This window comes from Homo sapiens, chromosome 2 (assembly GCF_000001405.40).
Source record: "Homo sapiens chromosome 2, GRCh38.p14 Primary Assembly".
Classification (NCBI taxonomy): Eukaryota; Metazoa; Chordata; class Mammalia; order Primates; family Hominidae; genus Homo; species Homo sapiens.
Window position 1 is genome coordinate 192,164,222 of NC_000002.12, and position 20,778 is coordinate 192,184,999.

General features: G+C 33.7%; 1 protein-coding gene across 6 annotated transcripts in view; it reads right to left on the bottom strand.

Moving 5' to 3' along the window:
* The window catches only part of TMEFF2 (transmembrane protein with EGF like and two follistatin like domains 2), a 245,888-nt gene that overhangs the window by 215,176 nt on the left and 9,934 nt on the right, over positions 1-20,778 (bottom strand). For 3 of the 6 annotated variants that reach the window (NM_016192.4, NM_001305134.2, XM_017003740.3), the window contains exons 3-4: positions 20,133-20,262; positions 15,447-15,473 (exon numbers count right to left, since the gene is read on the bottom strand). In NM_016192.4, coding sequence (NP_057276.2) covers positions 15,447-15,473; positions 20,133-20,262 — 157 coding nt within the window. Of the gene's footprint in view, positions 1-12,521; positions 15,474-20,132; positions 20,263-20,778 lie in introns of those variants that run through there. The other 3 variants (XM_011510890.4, XM_017003739.3, NM_001305145.1) reach the window with 2 other exon arrangements.

Below are 20,778 nucleotides of genomic sequence, written 5' to 3' on the forward strand. Positions count from 1 at the left end.
TCACTATGCTCGGGCTGCACTTACCTTCCTTCTATTTCTGGATTTCACTAAGGCATCCCTTAGGGCATTGGCCTGTGCTCTTCCCTTTGCTCCGAATGCCCTGCCTCTGATCTTTGTGTACCTTGTTCTTTCTACTACTTAAGGCTTCAGTGAAAATCTCACTCTTACCACAAAACCTAGTAACTTTGCATAACATCACTGTTTTACTTTCTTAAAAGTAATTACAGGCCAGGCGCGGTGGCTCATGCCTGTAATCCCAGCACTTTGGGAGGCTGAGGCAGGTGGATCACGAGGTCAGGAGATCAAGACCATCCTGGCCAACATAGTGAAACCCCGTCTCTACTAAAAATACAAAAATTAGCTGGGCGTGGTGGTATGTGCCTGCAATCCCAGCTACTCAGGAGGCTGAGGCAGGAGAATCGCTTGAACATGGGAGGTGGAGGTTGCAGTGAGCCAAGATCATGCCACCGCACTCCAGCCTGGTGACATAGCGAGACTTCGTCTCAAAAAAAAAAAAAAAAAGTAACCACACTCTGAAATGTTTTTGCTTATTTATTTGCATGGTTCATGTCTGTTTTTTCTCTTCTGAATTAAGCTTCCTGTGAATTGGGACTTTATCTGTATCTCTAGCATCTAAAATATGGTTGGCACAGAGTATAATAATATTATGCTATGTTATCAATGCTCAGAGTACAAATATAGCAATATATAAAAGTTATTAATACATACTAGCAGAATGAATACTCTGAATAAAAACTGTGTGTGTGTGTGTGTGTGTGTGTGTGTGTACCTGTGCACACATACTTGCATGTGCAGGAGACTAGCAAGCCAAAGACACATCACACAAAACAAATAGCACAGATGTTTCTATGACTAGTGCCGTATTTCTCCTTAATAGAAACACCTTACTTTTAACCAAAATAACATATTTAACATATTTTAATATGAAAGTTTATAATTTTCTGTTATAAATCCTTGACTTTAAAAAATAACAGACTACACATAAAGACAGTGGAGAAAAGGGAAACTTTGGAGGTCCAGGAGCCTGGGTGTAAATCCTGGCTTTGCCACTAACACTACCTGATGTTGCATAAATAACTTAATATCTGTGTCTCTTATTTTCTTCACCCAGAAATGGAGGTGATATGTCTTTCTTGAAGAGTTACAGCAAGTACTTAACATATGGCTATAAAATGCCTGACACATAGTACGTACTCATTATAAGTATATTAAAACAAGATAGTTTAGTCTCTAGAGTGTTATACTGGGCTTATCAATTATGGGAGAAGATAAGCTGTATGAACTTTTGTGAGTCATACAAATACACACACACATAAAATTTGTAAAACAACAGTGATGTGTCTTTGTCAGTGTTTCTATAATTACCCCCTTTGAAAGCAGCATACCTAAAAGTAATATACTATTTGAAGTACTTTCCCATCCACTCCCTTTCCTCTCCAATAACCCCAGGGAACAGTAGGCAACTACTGCATTTTTCTTTTGCATAGTCTTGTCTCCGAGGTAAAAAAAAAAAAAAATTAGAGACTTTGTCAAAAAGAATGCTCCCTCAGCATTAGCAGTAGATACTGTGTGCTAGAAATGTCAGAAATCATACTTTTTAATTCTCAGATATTTAGAGGTGAAAACTACTTAGAGGAAGTTAGACAAATATCTCTGAATTTAGAAAAAATTCAGAATTAGTTGAAACAAATACAGTTTTTGAAACATTATTCAGTGTAGTAGATCCCCTTTCATACATTCATTTGCCCAGTCCTCGGGTGTTCACTGAAATGGGCTTGCCTTTTATGACTGTTTGCAGGTGAAGGAAAAGGCACCTGTTTCTAGTTCGTGACGCAGTGGGAGTATAGGTGTGTTGAGCCAGATGAAACTTTTAACTGTTGGTTATTTGAAAAGAAAAATAAGTGAAACTAAGTGGCTGTGAATTTGAATTTTTCTCCCTTTCCAAGCATTGACATTGTTTGTCTTCCGTTTTATGCTTCTTACTCCTTGTCTTGTTCTTCTACCTCCCCTCAGGTATGGGAATTGTTCTTACAGAGAGGGCTCAGAAGAGAGTTATCGGAATGCCTATGTTGCCATACCATGGCAGCCTCAAAACTCTTTATGACTTTCTTCTTTGAAATGTACACATACTTCCCAAAATATACAAAGACTCATCCAGAATTATGTAATGGAAAATGGAATATAGACTTTTTAGGGATTTTTCTTACAATGTATTACATTCCTGTAGAAATTCCCAAAAGATTTGCATTAAGACAGGTACATATTTGTAAAAGATATTGAGAAAGGAGAAATATTTCAAAGTGATAAAAATATTTTCAATATGTAAATTATTTTAAATTTCAGGCTTAAGGCTTTAAGTACCTCTAGTCTAAGGCTCAGGAGGAAACTCAAGCAGTTACAATACTAGACCATTCCTCAGGCTCCACATGCCCTGCAAAACGGGGCAACAAAATGGAGAGACTCCAGGGGCCAGGAGAAAAATGGATGGGATTAGGGCAGAGTTTCCCAAAGTGTGTATCATAGATGACTAATCCCTTTGAATTTTAATATTATTGCTTAAGAAAAAATGTTTCATTGTCAGGTATTCTTTTAAAAAACACGTTTCAAACAAAATTTAGCATATTTCTTACTTCAAGATATATATGAATTTTTTAGAACAGTTTTTTAGAACTGAAGAGTTTCCTGGGATACAAGCTTTTCAGTGCTAAAATCAGAAAAATCCTGGGCAAACTGGCACTGGTTGGTCACCTTATATATGGCTCTTGAAAAGGCATCAAAATATGTTGCTTTTATCAACCTCACTTAAATGGATACTCTTTTCAGAATAGCATCTTGAGGCATTCAAGTCCCACAGAACACATTTTTAAAAGTACCGGAGTAGAAGAAGGCTGTCTAATTCTCCTAGTCAGCAGAATGAAGCATTGATTTCAACCTTTGTCTTATCTGGCAAGAACGAAACCTATTTTTCCTAATAAAATATCTAATGGCAGCATTAAATGCTATTTTAGATGGGTGAGAAATATGCATGTGGTGGTGGAGTTAGGAAAAAAAATCTCTGCCTGGAACACATTTTTCTTTATTTTCTTCTGAAAACATGTGTTGGGCGTATAGAAACAATCAAAGGGAGAAATGCATAAACTTAGTAAATATTGTATATGTTAATACTGAAATGTTAAGAGAATGTATAAAACTAATACAGCCTACCCACGCCTGCAGCTATTTAAAATTCCATCTTTTTTTCCCTTACTTAAACATTAAAACTTTTCTACAAAATGCTGAACATCACTGCTTTCTCCTTTCTCCTTCTGTTATTTTGCATAGAAAAGTCCTTTTCTCTTCACTAGTTTGTTCTTTTACCTTCTTTTTCCAAGTTCTCCTTTTTATCCTCTACACTTACATTTTATATTCGATCAGAGCATTACTACATTGCTGAAGTTTCATGTGTGAAGCAAACAGATGAGATAAAAGAGCATGAGGACAGGGGTAGGAGATCTGGCTTGAAGTTAATGGATGAAACAGAATCACTTTGCAGGTTTCTTCAGAGATGATGTGTATTATGGCATTTCCTATGCCCACTCTCAGTAAGTTGAGGGTCATAGTTAGCAATTACTGGGAAGTAGAAGAGTGGCTTCCGTGTTGATGCATGCATCAACTAATTGTATTCCTAGCAGTTCACATCACTTCCCTGACAGTTCATTCATTCATCCCTTAATTTAACAAGTATTTAACAAGCACATAGCACACGCCAGACACAATTCTATGAAACGTTGTTGGTTGAGTCTTTACTTTCAGTCTGCTGACAGTGATGTGACTTACTCTAAAATCATTTGATCTAGAATCCCCATGGCATCAGATGGAGGCTCCATTTTTCTCTCCATATATCTTTGAGTATTTCAAAAGTCAAATGCTCAAAGAATTCTATTCTCTTTGCTCACAAAAGTAAGAGACTTTCTAGATATGAGGAATTAATATCTAGCATTTTATTTTCCAAGTAATATGCTTTGATGGTTAAAGTAAATTTTATGAACTTTATCATAAATTTACTATCATTATAACTCCTTGAATATTCCAAAAAGACAGTCCCCTGCCACCCACCCCCCACAACTGGTTCAATGTCAAATTAAATGAAGGCATCAAATGGAATTCCAAATAATACATTCTCTGGCCAAAGTCATTTGGGATTTGAATAAGTAATTTGGATGTGGAATAGAGTATTCATATAGGTGAAAATTACCTCAATTACAAACAAACTAGCTAGAATCCTAAAATATCTTCAATTCTTTTCTTTCTGCACACTACTTTTGGAGAATGAGGTAGATCACAAGTTCATATACTGGTATTAGATGACTCTCAGGCTAAGCTTGCAAACCATTTTTGCTAGGCTCCTCCTGGCATGCCATTATTTTTTTATTGTTGTTGCTGGTTTTCAGTCATCTTTTATGAAGTTAAAATACTTCTACAGTTATTTTAGTACACAAAACCATTCATATCCAGCTTTTAATTTAGAATTTCAAATAATTTAAATGGCAGCATGCGAATGTGAGTGGAAACATTTAGAAATTTAAGCACACTTTCTTTTTAAATTTTATTTTTTTGTTTAAATTTTTGGTTTTATTTGGAGATGGGGTCTTGTTACATTGCCCAGGCTAGAGTACGGTTGCTATTTATAGCCACTATCATAACATACTGCTGCCTCTAACTCCTGGCCTCAAGCGATCCTCCCACCTCAGCCTCCTCGGTAGCTGGGACTATAAGCACATGCCATCACACCTGAATTAAGCACACTTTTTGTTGTTAGTATTAATGCATTGGTTCAGCTGAGCAAATATTTAACAAAATTCTACTAAGCACCAGGCTTTCTTTTCTAATATACAGGTATTAATAGTCATTAGCCTGAGGCACATATAATACACAGACTATTTGAATGAATCAGACTGATGATACAAAGTATAATTGATGAGAGACATGTAGTCCAACCAGAAGATTGAGGACAATCATCCTGATGTAGATTTTCATTGACTTTAGTCTTGGAATATGAATGATGTTTAAGCAAAAACATGGGAAGGGTTTTGGATAAATAGAAGAACATTAGCAAAGCATGGAGGTATGCAATCAATTGATGGTCTATCCCACTGAACTACTATCAACAAAAAGTTATACTGGAGTGTCAAGTCTGAGGTAGAGAAAATGAATGATGTGAATGGAGAGCCAGGAACTGAACCAGTTCTGGTGGTCTTTGTATCTCCTGTTGGGAAGACTAATTTTTATCCTAAGGATGATGGACAGCCATTGCTGAATTGCAAGTAGGGGAATTATATACTTAGATAAGTATTCTATGTAAATATTCTGACTGTGCAAGTAAGAAATATTTTACGTAGGCAAGTATGGAATTGGGGAGGCCTGTTAGGAGGCTTTTTTCCAATGCTATAGATGAGAGATACCTAAGGGCTGAAATATACTATTGGTGGAGGGTCTGAAGATATAGATCTGAGAACTATTCACAATGGAAAATCCACAGAGTGTGCTGACTTGTAGAATTGGACCCACTTTACAGCTCTGCCACATTCTATTTCAAAGCAGTTCTGGCATAAGGGAGCTCTCTCTTACTGAAAGGCCAAGGGAGTTTCCTGAATCAATGCCTGAATGTGGCTGGGCAGCCTGAACTTCAAAGGCAGTGTGGGCATGAGCTTCCAGAATATAACCATTTAATATCACCCCACTATTTAAGATGCACTATTTAACTGTACTACTAATTCCTTTTTTTCCTTTAAACTGCCAGCTGTGTTTCTCTTTAATTATATTTTAAAATAACAGCTATTTTAAAGATAACCACATTGAAGTTGCTATTACAGTTGTCTTTTGAGTAACTGAATAAAATTCTCAACACTGTAAAACTCTCTAACCCTTAAGGATTAGATCTCAAACTATATCACGAGGCTCAAAGGGGCCAGAAAAGATGACACTGTATAGCTCCACATGTCCTTTCAACGAGTTGCCACCACTACCACTTAAATCAGTGTGTCAGAAATTCTACTTGCCAAAGGTCATATTTTTCTGCAAGTGCTATGTTCTCTGGAGAGGATAGTCAGCATATCTGTAATGACTTTCACACCATCTCAATGCCCACAAGAACATGCAAACTTCTCAATGTTGCCAGGACCAAATATATGCAGAGTACACCATTTTTTTTTGTAGATGCAATTATAGAAATGGGTTCCCTCTCCAACTGATTCCACTAATATGTTCCTTGTGTTTGTGGCCTTCACCAAAAGAAGGTAACGACAGAATAGCAATCCAGTCAGACAAATTACAGGAGAAACGAGTAAGAATGCAGCTGGAAAATTAGAAGAAAATAGAGAAAAAGTTCAACTTTATAGGAAATATTATTTAATTTGGAATGAATGCAGTTTAAATAACCAATCTGCAGAATAGGTTTGTGGAAGCACCAGGCCAACATTATTTGAAATCCAGTTAATTCTCCCTTTATTCTTTTCAGAGAGAGATCAGCAAGGAACACAAAATTAAAAGATTTTTCAGAACTAGTTTACTAAGTGACAGGCACTGGAATAATTCTTTTGGTTTGACTCATTGAGCCAGGATGCCAACATTATTTAAACATATTGTTTTCTATTTATTCCTGGATTTTTTAAAATCCCAAAGCTGTAACAAGTGAGTGTGTAATTTACCAGAGAAAATGAAATTGCTCTTTGTTAAGTACACATTGAAAATCATATCCTATAATATGTATTGTTCATTTAGTACATTGAAAGAAAAAGCTGTATTTTCAAATCCAAATTTGAAACAAATTCAATGCAATTTGGCATGCACTGCAGCATGCAGAGACATTCCTATGCCTTAAATACTATCTGGAATTAAAAATTTCAAAAAGAAGAAGGATATCTTAAATAAAACCCCAATATAAAAATACCTTATGAGGATTAAAAATAGATTTGACTACAGCAAAACCTAGGATATTTTCTCAATATACTCAATAAAGGACCATACACAAAGTCCCTCAGATGAGTAGCAGAGTGAATGTCTAAAATAGACAAGAGATACTGTGATCCCCAAATCAATGACAACAAGAGAAAAGAAACTTTATCTTTTTTTTCCTTTTAATTGCACAGGTCTCCCTGCTTTCTCCCTTACTCTCTTACTTCAGCAAGGCATGTTCTCAACACAGCAGCCAGAGTGATCTTCTAAAATCACCAGTCAGATTACAACATTCTCCTCTCCTTCAGACCCTTCCAATGGCTCCCTGCTCACCCAGAAAAAGAACTTTCTGTTTCTGGCCTTGAGGGTCACTCCCACTCTTTTTCCACATCTTCAACCAAGCATCTTCTCACTCATTTTAGCCCAACTAACATCCTTGATGTTCTTGGAATATCCCAGACATGCATCTGCTTCAGAGTTTTCTCATTTGCAGTTCCCTTTGCCTGCAATGTCCTTCTCTCCCTCATCTGCAGGATTTGCCCCTTCATTCCCTCCTGATCCTTCTCCAAGGCATTCCTGATCACCCCAAATTAGTAACCTCTCGTTTCCCTTCTATCACTTTCCTCTTGCTGCATCACACTCATTACCATATGACAATCTGTGTTTTTCCTTTTTTGTTTACTGCTCATGTCTCTTTCCAAGAAATAAGTTCTACAAGGTTAAGAATTCTGTTATTTTGTTGTTGTTTTATATTTTACAGATCTTAGTGGATACCATGGTGCAATGTCCACCTTCTTCCCTCCTCAGCTACTTAGAGTATTTCACTCAGATAGCTTACAGTTGAGTCCCTCTCCAGGTCCAGTCTGCAGCTGAAGAGAGCTGCCTGGCCCACGGTATGCTCCCTTTTGGGAACTGCTCACATCTATGGTGATTAATGGTGGGGTATAAAAGCTCAGCCCTGCTTTTCCAATTGATGACAACTCATAAAGGCCATCCCATCTTGAGAACTCATATGGGCCACGCTGTGTAGCTTTTTTTTTTTAACTGCACCAATTCAAATTCACCCTCTTCCCAATCTTACTTTCTTCCCTTCTGCAGATTCTGATCCTGAGAGCACAAATCCCTAAGTTTCATGTGCACAAATCTCAACTTTAGAGTACTTTCCTGCATACCATGCCAGGGTCACAAGTAAAGAAATGAAAAACATAGAGTCTAAGTAGCCTGTCCAGGATCAGCAGCTACAGTAAGTACTGGCCAGTAGCCTGGCTAGTAAGTGGTGAGCCAGGATCATATCCAGAGTCTAGAGCTCTAGAATATGTGCTTTGTACCACTACCTTCTACTGCTACTTACACAACTATCCTATATATATTTTTAGCAATGATTTAAAGTATCTCAAATACCTTAGAGTGAATACTTACAGAAGATCAGGAATGGGATTAGGGTTAGATAAACAAAGGGGAAAAGTAATAGAATAGTTGGCAATCATTAAGTCCCATGGACTGAGGTGTGTGATTAACTTAGATAATTACATTGAGTAGAACAGATGATTTCAGAATCAAAAGTTAAAGTGGGAAGGGGATGAGGAGATGTAATAATAGAATGTCATCGGACTGCTGGTAGAATTGATGATTTATATAAACCATAGAAGATGATGTCTGGTATAGTTGTTGCAAAGAAGTACAAGAGGTAGGGCAATCTTGCAGACTAGTTTCCTTCCTTCTTGAAGTTCAAGGACTGGCTTAGTCACCATATTTACTGCATAAAGTGCTCATTCTTTCTGATCTTCATCTACACATCCAAAAGCTGTTGCTGTGGTTTAAAAGGGTGGGATAAAGACAGGATAGCTAATGGGTTCAAAAATACAGTTAAATAGAAGGAATAAGATCTAGTGTTTGGTAGCACAACAAGATGACTATAGTTAACAATGACTTATTGTATATTTCAAAACAACTAAAAGAATACAATAGGAATGTTCCTAACATGAAGAAATAATAAATGCATAAGGTGATGGATACCCCAATTACCCTGATCTTATCATGATACATTGCATGCTTATATCTAAACATTATATGTACTTACAAATATGTACAACTATTATGTGTTCATAAAAATTAAAAACTAAAATAAATGCTATAATAGTGCTTTCTATAAACTATACAGCATTTTATAAATCATTATACATGAACATAGGGATTCTTATAGATTTAGCTAGTTCATATTTTGACATCAAGCAGAATTGTAATAAAATCTTCCCATCAATTTTGAAAGAATCTCTTTCTAAAAAGTTTAATCCCCTAAGAAAAATTTTGCAATGCTTAGTGCCCTCACAAACATTCTTTCTTGTAAGTATACAGAATCTCCTACATTGTGACTCCCTCCTACTTCTTCTTTATTGGTTTTCTATAAAGGCAATATGCCTGCCACTGTAGTTTTAAGAATAATTATGTACTGTTTTGAAATTTTAAACATTATTCCTTATTTCTTACCTATCTTGTGTAACTGCATTTCCTCTGGATGCATTTATCTTCTATTATGTGTATTAACACAGTGATTCCACTTGCTTTCAGGAGTCAGAGCTAGCTGTGTCTTCTAAATACTAGAAACTGTATTGGATTCTTAGAGTTATTACTATCCCACCATCAATACTTTAAGCCATGGACTTAAAATCACTAATTAAAAGATTCAAAATTCTAATTAAACCCTTCGGAGAAATTATATTCTTATAGTATATGGGAATAAAGAGCAAAGGTAACATAAATTCTTTTAATTTCATTTTGAATTTTTTGGAGTTCAAAGTTATTTGCATTACTTAATTTTAATCATCTTTCCTATAGATACATATTACTGTTTCACTGACAAAATAAGTGAATCTCCCAGGAAACTGAGAGCAAAAATCAAACAGGCATTCTTCAAGTCAGCTAAAAATCTAGAAGGCAAATCTCCTGATTCATAATCCAAAGCCATTTCTATCATACTACACACAATGATTAACTTTCTTTTCCTATATATAGTTTTTAAAAACCCATATGGATGATTCAGACAAAAGTTTGTAGCATCTATTTCACATTCTTAAGCAATGTGCAGAAATTCAGAGAGCTATTACTGCTCTACTGGAAGAAAAAAAAAGTTATTTTTATTTGTAAAAACGTATTCATGTGTGAAAACAAACTATAGCCATGCTGATAACAAAGGTCCCTTTCTCCTCCCTTTTCATTTTCCATCATTCTCACTTTATTTTCCTCCTTCTGTTTGCTTTCTATATTTTTCCAATTTTGTTATCCATTACATGGTCCTCATTCATTCTATCTCTATTTCATTACTCCATTGCTATACTGTTCTTCTTTTAGGTAAAGAGAAAGTAAGATGGATTTCAACCTAAGAAGAGCTGAGATAAGATTTCAATTGAAGTTCAGATGGCTATACGCTCATCTCCAGCAGAACAGCAGCTCTCAGGTGTGGCAGAGCAAAAAGAGGATAGTTTCTGCTTTCTTCCCATATATATTGCCTGGGAAGAATTTCAGACGTGTCATGCTTGGTAGAATTTCTTTATTAAATCAGTATTTCAGCAGAAGTTGCTTACAATTGACACCTGTCAGACTTTGGCTGTAATGTGAGCCCAAGCGCTTGGTGGGGGGAACAAAACATACAACCATGATGAGGTATGTTGTGTTTGCCAGACTTTGACCATGATAGTGGAGAAGTGGAAAAGGTATGCTGGTTGGAGAGGGAATTAGTACAGCAACATGGAAGGGAAAATTACTTAGCCTTTTACAAGCATATTTTATGGAATAAATATTCAATTCCTTGTTATTTACAGTATATTTAACATTTTATTTCTTCAGAGGAATAATTTTCTTTTCATAATTAGAATCATAATTTTTTCCATTGTGTGCTCAGAAGAGAATTTACATGTAATCTCCATGAGTGTAAAGAACTGTGTCATATTCATCTTTACAGCCCCAGAAATCTTGCAAAAATACCTAGGTTATAGTACTACCTTCCTTCAAGTCAACCAAATTACTAAATATTATAAAATCCACATTAGAAAGACAAGGATTTTTTTAAAATTATCTCCATGTTTCAAAGTGCTTAAAATATTTTTGCCAGTTTTTAGCAGTTCACATAATCAGAAATAGCAGCCCAAGATCTACAATGTGTTGCCATGTAAACCTTTCTTGTTCTATCCAATATGTATATGAAGCAAATGTCTTAATTATGGACATCTTTGGTAATGTTATATGAAAATAATTTGTACTGGAATTTTTTCATTAAATAAAAACCATATGTCAACTGATTTTCTACACCAAATTTATCATAACAACAATTATCTGGATAATTCACATAAAAATAAGGCTTTTTTATACAAATAAACATAAATTTAATTTGACTTCTACATATCCAACAATAACCTATTAAAGAATTATCTTAAAATTGTATATAAATATATAAATTGTATAAGTAAGTTCCGTGCTTCCTTTTATCTCATGAAATAAAAATATACTTATTGTATCTATGCTGTGTATCTTAGATACATTTTATTTCTATAAACATTATCATACAACTTCCCATAAGATGATATTAAAATTTAACTGTGGATTCTGCTCATGTACAGCAGGATAATACATTTATAATTATTTTGATAGTTAAAATATGGTTTTAATTTCACCAGACTTATTTATTTTTCAGAATCTAACAAAGATCTAAGCAATACATAAATATTTAAAAAAAACAGTAATGGAGATATTCATAGCATTGTCTTTATAATATGACTGAAAGACTTATAGAGAAAAGCAGGGGTTAAAAATTATTCTTTAACCACCCACACACCTCTGAATTTTGAGAGGAGGCACCTTTAATACTTTTTCTTCCTGCAGTATTTGTTGCTTAAGGAAGTCTGTGGGTGGATAAGAGGTTATTATCCCTCCTACACACACCCGTTTTCTTATTTACAACATTAAACTTCCATATATAAGTACCTGAAACACCAATCGTTTTCTTTCTATCACTTTCTCAAATTCTTTGGAATTTGGACCACATATTACCTCCCTATAGCACAATTCACAGTTGTAGTTTATCTTGAATTTTTTTTTGTCAGGTGTGAATCTATCCAACAAGTTTATTTGATGTAGATGCCTTTCAAAACAAACGTTTTTGTTCGAAAACAGAGTTCCATAAATGGCGGGTCCTATGTTCAAAACTAATAATACAAAATTATCTTTTGTATTAATGAGTTTTCTTAAACACTAAAAGAAGAGGATACAGTCAGCGAAATGCGACAGCCAAACATTAAGATTTGTATGAAGTATTTGTATCTTATTACTCTACAAATTTCCTTTAGGAGAGAATGCATCTTTGTGGGTCATGTTGGAAGCACAGTAAATGTGTTTTATCTCAATACAGTTAACTGTTTGAATTGTTTCAGCTGAATAAATAGGTCAATGGTTGAAGATTTTAGAACTCCCTATAAAATGTACAATAACAAGTTAAAATAAATTTTATAAAACCTTTATGTCCCTTTTATATTGCAGTAAAAATGTTCTCTCAAATGCAGTAAATGACAGACATACCCTTGTGCAAATGGGTTAAGCTTAAATTATTTTTAGAATAATCAGGTCTAATTTTCATTACTAATGTAATATTCATTCACGCTAAAATATAGGAAAATTTTTAAAAAGTAATATTTGATATATTTTTACATGATTTTAGATTTGTAAGTTTAATGATATCATTTATGATAGTCACACATGATAAATGTTTTACAAGTAAATTTGTTCCCTTCACTCTTTTGTTCAGTGTACTCCATTTTGGAATTATATTAACTTTTGTTAAAATAAGAAATTAGAAAATAACTATTAACCATCCAAAGTGCTTGCCAAGTAAACCCAATTATTAATTAAATACACATTACTGAGAATATGTTATATAGAGATTAGTTAGAACAATCACTAGTTACAATTGTTGGATTAGCCAAACAATCACAAGTTATTCAATCACTTTTGCTTTATTCAAAAATGAAGGAAGCTGATTCTGCCCTCTCAAAACCTTGGTAATACGAATTCTACAAAAATACAGAGGAAAGTCTATCATCTGTATAAGAGAGATAGCAAGTCAAATATATCTTACGATTACAACCCAATGGATATGTGAACTGAATTTGTGCAAGTTATTCTAAACTAGGTTTTTAGGTTTTAGTTACTAAGCATTTTTGGCATCCCTCAATAAAGAATTTAAAGAAAATTAAAACTAATAGTCTTACAGACCAAAGTAACATGTAGACTAGAAAAACAAGCAGTTCTGTTGAGAAAAACCTGATCAGTCTCTAATTTTAAAAATTGTATGCAATTAGGAGCAAATACTCATCACCACAATTTTCAGAACTGCAGTTATTTAAAAGAATAAGCTCAGAATTAAATGTGTTATATGCTTTTTTTTTCTAAAGCAAACATCGGAAGTTGTTTTTGTTTTCTCCAAGTTACTATGAAGCACCTCTAACTGAAAGGAAGAGTGATTAAAAAACAGAAAAAGAGAAAGAAAATAAAGTGTTTTCCAAGTGATGTTTCACTTATATGGTATAAGTTATACATGTCATATTCATGAGATTAAAATTATTTCCTGAAAAAATGTCTTATTCAGATCACAAGACAACATAATGAACCAAAGATTTTAATATAAAACGCAACAGGGAAGAGTGAGTTTGACTTCATTTCCATTTGCATGTGCTAATAACAATGAATGAAAACTAGAAACTAGTATGTGAAACAAAGTTCACATCTTATTGTTAGAAAAATAAAGATATGAAGTACAGTATGGTAGGATAGTCAAGCAGAAAAAAGTAAATGATGATGCTTTAACAGAAAGAGAAATGAAGACATTCTTGGTATGTTTTATTTTGTCTTTAAAGATGCTAGAAAATTAACAAGACTGGTGGGTAAACAGTGGAACAGTTCAGTCTCAGCACAATATTTGCAAAATTAGGTAGTCTACATATAAAACTAAACAGCTAGAAAATATACAGAATTTTGCATAGAAACTGTTTCCTTACAAAAGCAACATTTTAAAAAATTAATTGATTTCTTATTAATAATATTCCCATGGTAAAACATCTACTAAAGGAACTGCCTTTTTTCCTGTCTTTTTTTTTTCTTTAAGATTTAATATGCTATTCTAAGGTCTTATTTTCAAAACCTCTAGGGACGCTTTCTTGGGAATACTATATTAATCAGCTAGGAAAACTTTTATTAGAAGTAGAGAAAGACTGTCCAGACATCAAAGGACTGTCCAACATCATGGGACATTGAAACATATTCTATGCTTGAGTCTTGACTGCTGTTCAGTTTTAGTCTTTAGGAAAAAAATTGTGTTTCAATCTGCTGCTGTTCAGTTTTAGTCTTTATGAAAAAAAAATTGTGCTCCAATATGCTGCTCTAATTATGTTCTGTGGGTATTGCTTATTTGAACTAGTTAAGTCTTTCATTACATAAGGAAACTTGATAAATCTTTCAAGTGTTTCCTGAACTAGATAAAGGGTGCACTAAATATCTGCCACCCTGAACCCAAGGCCTTCTTTTACTTATCTTTTATCAAATTCTGTATTTAAAAACTAAAATCAACTTGGAATAGCACATTTAATTATTTTACACAACTGAAGCAAGGTCTTGAGAGAATGCTTTTATTTGTTTTGTTTTTCTTAATCTTGAAATTATATATAGGTTGTGTTTTGTTTTGCTTTGTGTGTATAAAAGTCTAATTTTGTTTGAATTTCATCGGGAAAAGTATTTGGGACATTTACAATTTAGTTTCAATCTATAGGTAAAATCTTTATTTGGTAGTAAGTACATTAGATCAAACTTTTAAAGTTTCTCTCTCTCTCTCTCTCATCTTATATACTTCCCTAAACAAAACTAAATAATGGGAACATATATCATACTTTAGTAAAAATAACTATAGATTTAATCAAGGAAGCAAAGATAATATTTTACTTTCATTGGACTTCATTTTATCTTTTTCACTTTTATGAACTAAAGTTCCTTCAGTTTCAAATTATAAATCTGATAATTAAAACCTTGGCTATATGGTAGGTTATGTATGTCTTATTAGCACCTAGTAATTGAGAGCAGTGTCATATATTTAAAAATCCAATATTTAAATGATTTCCTCATGAATTCTTTCTTCCCTGCCAAATATGCTTACATGCTTCTCTTCAGAAGTTTTTACATTATGCCTATCCATATCAAAGATAACTTACAAACAAACAAACAAACAAATGAACAAGGAAGGTTAACTGGAGATAGAGTATGATTCATAAGTATGCCAAATAATTTGCACGGTATATACATGTACTTAATATGGTGACAATTTTTTATGGTTTCACCTTTCCTAAAATGCAAAATATGAAATTTGTCTTAAATATCTGAAATGGAACATACATAAGTAAATATACATAATAATATCCACCAGTAAATCTTCAAATATGTAAAAAGGCAACTCCTACCTCCATCTCCAGATCCTGATCCTGCATCTGTGGGGGGAAAAGTTATATTTGCTAGTAAAACATATTCAAAAATATTTATGACTTTTTAAGCTCAAGTTTATTTTCTTAGTTTAATACTGCAATAATATTGTTTGAGAAAAATACTAATATTTAATCCAAAAACGTACATTCACATCAATTTAATTTAATATCTATTAATGTAACTTCTATAATAAATTATCCATCATTTTTATTCCAGAGCTTTACGAAAACATTATTGCCCCGTTTGGAAAATTTCCTAATCTCGGCTATGAAAAATTCCTAATCTTGACAGGCTGGATTTGGTGCCATTAGCAAAATAAAGTATTAAAAATGAGATGCTTGTAACAATCAGTAAGTTTCAGAAATTAAATAGTCTAATGCGTGTGGCAAATAAACCCATAATTAAGGCTTGTATTCTTGCAAATTGCATATGAACAAAGAGAAAAGCAGTTTAAAAAGAAATATATTTTATATGGGTGTTGATATGTTTTACGAATACCACAATTGTGGATGATTCCATCTGTGTCAAATCATCCTTTGTTTTTGAAGTCAGTAGAAGACAGCTTAATTTTTGCCTTTGTGCTTAAAGTCAGATATTCACTAAATGATTCTTGCAGAAAAAATCATACTTCCTCTTCTGGATTTTTCTTTCACCACTTCTTCTCTCCCCTTCCTTCCTTTAATTACAATTGGTCAAAGTTGTCTATTTCTGGGAAGGTAGTTCCCAGAAACACACAAAATTTCAAGTTGAAATCAAAACCATTACGATTCCATCTGCTTCTGCTTCTTAAGTGTAGACATCATCTTCCTTCTGACTTTCCATTTTTGTTTGTTCACAATACATTTGGTTATGTATTTTAATGTTAATACAGGGAAATAAGATTAATATTGATATTCTCTGCCTGATGTGCCCTTATTCCACAGTGAAATCTCACCCAGGGTTCAAGACTTATACCAAATGCCACTCTTAAGAATTTACGGTCCAATTAAAATAAAACATGACTTTTACTTGTTTGCTTCCATGATACTTTATTGAGAAACACCACATAGAAAGAGGCATGGTGTTTGAAAATCCACAGAAGGCTGACAAATATGGAAGAAGGAAGGCCTTCCCAGCAGCCCTCCTGTTTGTCATGTATTGGCATTAGCAGTACCATGAAGGAGCAGTAGTTTGAACTGTCAGTCTTGTTGGAGGCCCACATTAACTAAATTTATAGGGTCTAATACTATTATATTAGAATGTCAAGTAATCAATTAACTATTAATGTGACAGGACATATGTCTTTGGATCAGCATATCTTTTCCTTAAAGGCAAGTTAATTGGTAAAATAATTTATGATAAAAATTATTCTTAGTAAATGTAGAATCAAACAAGGATTTTAATCATAAGAATTGACTGTTTAATGATAATAGACCAAGAAAGACTGATGAATTCATGTTGATATTAGAATATTCCTACCAACTAAACTGACTGTCATAAGTCACAACACCATCTCTTTTGGACAGAACAGTGCTTGGGTGCTTTTTGTATACTTTCACAGACAAAAATTTTAATTGATTGTATTTGCATTAATTTGAAAGTTTAATTCAGTATTACTTATACTCATTCAGGGCTAAATAACAGACTGTGGTATTACAGTGATAACACATTCTAAATATATTTTAGTTAAATGTATATAGTTTCTTTTAAATTTTCCCCTATAAACTTCTTTAAGTCAAGGAAAATGTGTTGTTCATCACTCTACACTTATATGAACATAATGGGAAATGCATAAAGGCTTAGGAGTTACAAACTCCAAACCTTACTCATTGCATGACAGAGAAATGTTATTCAACCTTGCTAAGCATATTCCTCCTCTATTCAATGGGTACAGTAATATCTAACCGATTGGGCTATTTTGAGGCTTACTGCACAGTAGCATATATTAAATGCTTAAGCACTGTCAGGAACATAATAATTAAAATGTACAGTAAACATCTTGCCTATTCATCTACGAGTATTCTAATAAATACATATGACTGGGGAAAATCAGAAAAAAATGCCAATAGCATTTTAGCTTGTATTTCCCACATGCATTTCTAAAACTTCAAGGGGCATGGTCCTTAAGACAATATTTGATTTGACACAAATGAAACAGCCAGGAAAAAAAAGAAGGAATAGTTTAGAAAAATGATCACTTAAGTCCATGGCATCATTATGAAATCATTATGGGAGGCTTTAATGATTTTCCTTTATTATATGATAAGTCATCCTGGCCAACTGATGATAAATAGCCTACTAAAGTCTTATTAGTAAGACAGAAACACCTAAGAAAAGAAGTCATGCTGTTAGACCTAAATCTGAGCTCCTAGTTAATGCATTTCCTACAAGGCAAAAAGTTAAATTGACGGTAAGACCATTGAGCAGATTTCACAATAAGAGTCCATTCTCTGGACAAAAAAAAATTAAGTTCAATGAAATATAATAAATATAAAGTTATATCTTCTACTGCCTATTATTCCTAGAGCTTACAACTTGCCACTTCCATTCAGTGTCAAACAGCATTAAAAAATAAATGGGAAATATACAAAGAAAAGAATGAGAATCCCTTTTAGATCAAAAGTCAGAACCCCAATTTATTTACAGTCAGACCTGGTTAATCAAAATTACTTTGTTCTCTCCGTCATTATTCAGATCAAAAACCTTTTAGATTTACAAGTCCATGGAAGATGCATTCAGCAAGACTGGCTTACTAATTAAATCCTGTAGAAATCTAAGTATGTGAATGAGCTAAAGATGGATTACTCGATTGTGATTAAATTTTCTACTTGGCTAAGTATTTATTTTCATAGTATAACCAGCACATCAGGGACTAGAATGGAAAGACTTGAATGAATCAGGAGAATGTGATTATATGCGCTGACAAGAACTTGGAGGTTGGCAAGTAAGAAAGAGAGATTTTGCTACATTGGCCATAACCGTAACTTCTGGTCTGTTTATTATAACAATTGCCTGGCAATTCTCATGTGGCTATTGTTAGAAAAGAACAGATATCCTCCATGATCTTGATCTTGAAAAAGCAAATCCTTTCCTCAATACTCTACGGTATTTGCCTTCATCCTTCCTGGTTCCTGGGATTTTACTTTTTTTCTATTCAATTTGTCCTAAAGTACTATTTCTCATTTCTTTGGTATGGCTGACTGATTCCTCATAATTAGTTTGCTCCTTGTCAAACTTTCTATATCCCCCATCCTTAGTATGAGAGCAGCATGCTGGTCCTCCTCCTTTCCTATTGGAGAAGGCTGCCCATTGACTCTCACATATTGCTGTTTCTTTTATTCATGACTTGTCACTCACAGACCAAGCAGCAATGACCTGTTTGCTTTAGCAAATAAACAAATGGAGTACCAGCCCAGCTTGCCTCCTGACCACCCTTTCATGAAGAACATTCACATCTGAGCAAATAATCCCTTAGGAGAAAAGACTACTTACAAACCAAAACCAAAACAAAACATCATTGGCCATGAGATATGATTCTATTCTCTTTCTTCTGCTAATTCTCAGAAACTTGGGTAGTCACCAGTATAACTTAGTATTATCAATTACTAACAATCAATATGCTTAAGATAATCTTTTAAAGAATATGAGGCTTTTCTCTTTGCTCATTTTCCACCCTGCCCCAGTCACTTAGCACATAACTTTTAACATCATACACTAGATTAGAAATACCTGTTATCTAAGAGGGACTTTTGAATAAATAGACTTTTCATGACACTATTCTCTGCTTCTATTTTTAGAGAAAGTTTATAATTGATGACGTTGTTATTATTCCTGAATATGCTTATATCATCCAAATTCTCAGGAATTATGACTTTCCAGAAAGATGCTTATTTGCCATTAAGAACAACTATTATGGCACCTTACAGCCTCTACAATATATGTGATTTTGATATCAAGCTTAACTTGAAAACTCAGCCCCATTTTAAAGCATTCCCCATTTTAAAGCATAAGCTCTAACAACCACTGTAGACACAAGGAAAATTTGAAAAGCTACAGAGCACATGAAGTCACTCTTTCTTCTTACTTCCTTTATAGCATTGTTGGTAAGCCATGACTAAAAAACTTTGTAGAATCCCAGGTTAATTGAGTCAGAAATGACAAATGTCACTAGAAATTATGTCCATTACAAACACATTAGTCAATAAAATCTACTAAATAGTAAGAAGACCATTTTGTAGAGCTGCTAAGATTAGACGTCAACTTCAGAGCCCAAACCTGCAAGATTGCCTTCCAGCAGATAATGCTATTGTTCAAAACAAACAAACACAAATAAACAATACAACTGTATTCATACATAGTCAGGTTTCTCCATATTTGGCACGTTGGCAGTCTATCTAGATTTCTAATTATATGTGGCTTTTATTCAACCTGCCTGTATTTCATTTAATGACATACGTACTTAAATCTACCAGTGTCCTTATGGTAGATATCCTCTTTCTTCCAAAAGTGATTTGAAATGTAAAAATGACAAAGAATAAGAATAACAAATGTTTTGAACAAAACAATACGGCTTGTCTAGTCAACATATAATCTGAATTATTTATTGGGAGATAACAAGAAATGAAAGACATGGTTTTTGGATTTGGAATCCATGCAGAAGGTTTCAAAGAAGATCACACACATACCTGTGGCACATGATCCTTCTGACACCACAAGTATCTCACTCTGCTGTTTGCATGCAGCCTGTCGCAGGTAACACTCATTCTGGTAGCTCTCCCCATTGGAGCCACACACAGGCACATAGTCATTGTTGCACTGGGAAACACACAGATGTAAGCCTATAGTTAGTACTGGAGATTGTATCCCTCTGACACGATGAACAGAAATAATCATTTACAAAAGAAACCACTTGTCTTCATTTTCAATGATTCTAATTGTGTCCAATAAGTCTTTATAAGGGCATCATTGAAAGATGCACAAAGCCAATTTCAAGTTAGCCAACCAGTCATTTGATTTAGATAGGGCAAAAATAAGCATCTAAATTGATCAGGCAATTCCCAACAAAGTGACTGGACAAGTAGCACAATAAAGATATAGGAATAAATATATTAATGCTACTTAATATTATTTTTAGTATGTAGCCCATATGACTTGATGGAAAAAATTAAAATACAGTTTAATTTCAAGCTATTAAAAAACAAAGGTAATGTCTATCTGTGCTAGGAGTGGAAATATATAGCCAAAATGCCAAAGAAATCAATTAACTCTTAGTTGTTTTTTTAATTGAATTTAATTGAATTTTTATTGAATTCTAGTCCTTGTAAATTTCCA